The sequence below is a fragment of the Homo sapiens genome, chromosome 11 (assembly GCF_000001405.40).
Source record: "Homo sapiens chromosome 11, GRCh38.p14 Primary Assembly".
Taxonomy (NCBI): domain Eukaryota; kingdom Metazoa; phylum Chordata; class Mammalia; order Primates; family Hominidae; genus Homo; species Homo sapiens.
In genome coordinates, this window is record NC_000011.10 from 106,325,598 (window position 1) to 106,328,426 (window position 2,829).

General features: G+C 41.4%; 1 annotated feature.

Moving 5' to 3' along the window:
- Positions 1,503-2,313: an enhancer, noted in NCBI's record as "OCT4-NANOG hESC enhancer chr11:106197827-106198637 (GRCh37/hg19 assembly coordinates)". NCBI's record gives its function as "activates a minimal SCP1, AML or CMV promoter by ChIP-STARR-seq in naive H9 embryonic stem cells {active_cell/tissue: H9 hESC(naive)}" and the evidence as "EXISTENCE:reporter gene assay evidence [ECO:0000049][PMID:30033119]".

Genomic DNA, 2,829 nt, shown 5'->3' on the forward strand with positions numbered 1-2,829 from the left:
AAAGTGTTTTCCAAACCGTCTATTAACTTAGCCAAAACACTGGTCAGTCTGTCAAATTTTATTCAAATCAACTCAATCAAAACTATCCAATTAAAATGGAAAATAGACAGAATCTTACATCTGTTTTCTAGAGGCCAGAGTAGAATTCTTCCATATAGTGTACTTCTAGCTATTTTGCTAAGACCCCAGTTTCAAATGATTTGGATAATATAAAGAATATGTAGAAAAGTCACCCACCTCGCCACACTGCCCTGTCAACATCTTCCTTTGTAGATGTTTTGCATCCTTCTAAGCAGATTGCCAAGGATCAATCAAAAGTAGAACAATTGAGGAATGAGGTTCTAAGGGGCATCTGAAATGACAGCCTTCCATAAGCATAACCTGGCAGATGATGAGCATCCTTTGGAGCATCGGCAACCTTACACAAAAAGGGCAACTGCCCTATTCCATGGCTGATTTCAAAGGATCTTGGCATTTTCTTATCATATTAAGAGTAAATCATTAGTGAGAGTAACTTTTGGATGTTAACATATCCTACAAAATTAATTAATGCTTAAATTCAGAACTCTACATTGTAAAGACGTTTGTCTTCATTTTTGCTAAAAAAGAAAAAAAAAGAGGCAGGGAAAAAGTTCAATTGTAACTGTATTTGGCTTCATGTGAGACACGAGCTCTCACTCTAGAACCACCCACCCATGCTCCGTTTACATACACAAATAGCAATTTAGGATGTGTGATGTCTTTTCAGTTTTACTGTCTCCTGAGATAATTGTTGGGCAGATTCAGGACAGAAGTTGCATAGTTTCTTAGTTTTAATAATGTCTCTAATAATTGGGGTTATTTCTGGCTATACCTGATTTACCTAGGAGACCATGCACTTACAGGTCAGCTTTGCCTCAACAGATGTGAGTACCAGACCCTCTCCTGCCTCACAATCACAAATGATACTGCACAGGGCACCCTGGGGCTGCATTAAGGGCAGGCAGGGGTGGGAGTAGGAAAGAAGTGTGGGGGCAGTGAGATGGAGGAGTGGAGCTAAATAGAGATGGATCTGCTAGTGACAGAAAGAGTAAGGATTAAGTGAAGAAGAGGTGACAGAGAAGTCACTGGGTAGAGCAATGCTGGCGCAACTGCTAAGCAGGTTCATGGATAAAGCAGTCTAGCTTTTGTGTGAGGCAAGTTCAAAGGGGCACTGTCAGGCTTTGAAATTGTGTCAGCTTGAAGCATTGCTGGGATGAGTTTTATAAGAATTTGTGATCATTTCTATACAGCCAACCCAATATCAGGAGGAAAGGATGTCACTTTGTTTTAGGACACTTGCATTGACGTACAATTGCAAAATGTCTGAGTGGATAGTTTAGTTTTTAAGCATAGGAAAGGTAAATGATTGTTTAAAAATGTACCCAGGATTTCGTTTGTATTCAGGAATAATGAAGCCAGAAGGTGAGAACACAATTGTCATTGAAAAGATAGTTTAGTACTCACAGTTTCCAAAAGGAGGGAATCTTGCCCTGTAGGGCCACAAGAGAGAACACTGAGGTTGGTCACAGGCAGAGAGAGGGGAGGACACTTCAGAAAAGGCATTATTGTGGTTTTCAGGGGAAGGAATTGGTGGCGCAAGGTAAGCAGGCTAAGCAGGTTCAGGGTTGGCTAGTTTGAATGATTTCAGTCAGCTGGAGTGTAGGCCCTTACCCTGTCTCCAGTAGCCCTGGGTTGACTAATGAAGGGGAATAGTATCCATGGTGCAGGAAGAGGCAGATGAGGGGTGTGGGCTTTTAACTGGTTAGTTTGCATATGAAGGCACACTTGATGAGAAACCCCTTTGCTCTCTCTAGGGGTCCGCTAACCACTGGAGGGGCAGTCTCTCCCTAATCAGCAAAACCTCAGACATCAAAATGTTACTGATAAGGCCGGTCCCCCAAAGACAGGGTCTTTCTCTGTTTGGTATCAAGAAGCCAATACATGCAACCAAAAGTGTGCATCAAGCAGAGCAAGATTTATTCAATGGCCATGGGATTGAGAATTGAGAGTATAGCTCAGAAATCAACTTCTTGACTAGTGAGGGGCAAGGGGGTTAAATATAGGGTATCTCTAATGAAGGAGTTGGACATTAATAGCAAGGGGAGGAATATTCATATCTTTTCTGGAAATGGGCAGTGAACTTCTCAGAGCTAGAGTGCTGCCTTCCTTTTAATCTTTTTATGGCTTCTTCTGTTTGTTGTCATGGCAATTGTCAACTGTCATGGCACTGGTGGGAATGTCACTTAGCATGGAAATGAAATTATAATGAAGTCTGAGATCTTTTTGGAGTCATTTGGAGGGCTATTTTGGTTCTAGCCAGTCTCAGCTGGTCTAGTTACACAAGGAAGTTTTTTTTTTTTTTTTTTTATAATAGATATCTTGTTTCTTAAGATTAAGCAGAGTTAAGGCAGGGTAGAAATTCAGCCATGTCACATAGACATTACATCAAGCAACAAATCATCAGATAGAAAAACTACAAAATGTGGTTAATCCAATTATGTACAGGGATGCCCCCATTCTCTCTCTCTACACGTGGAAAATAAGTGTGCACTAGCAAAACACATCTCCCTGTCTCAACTTCCAAGATTGTCTTTGGGTGGCTCTGGGAGGAGAAAGCCAATGTTGCATGGTTGCATGGAGAAAGAGCAATGGATATTCACTTTGCCTTACCCAAAGTTTGGACAGCCTTGATCTGAAGAGACTGTTAAGTCTTTTTCTGGTTGGGTTCTACTGGGTGATTCTCAGAGGAGAGGCCATTCCTAATGGTTGGACTCTTATGTGCTCCAGGAACTGTATGCTGTCATAGAT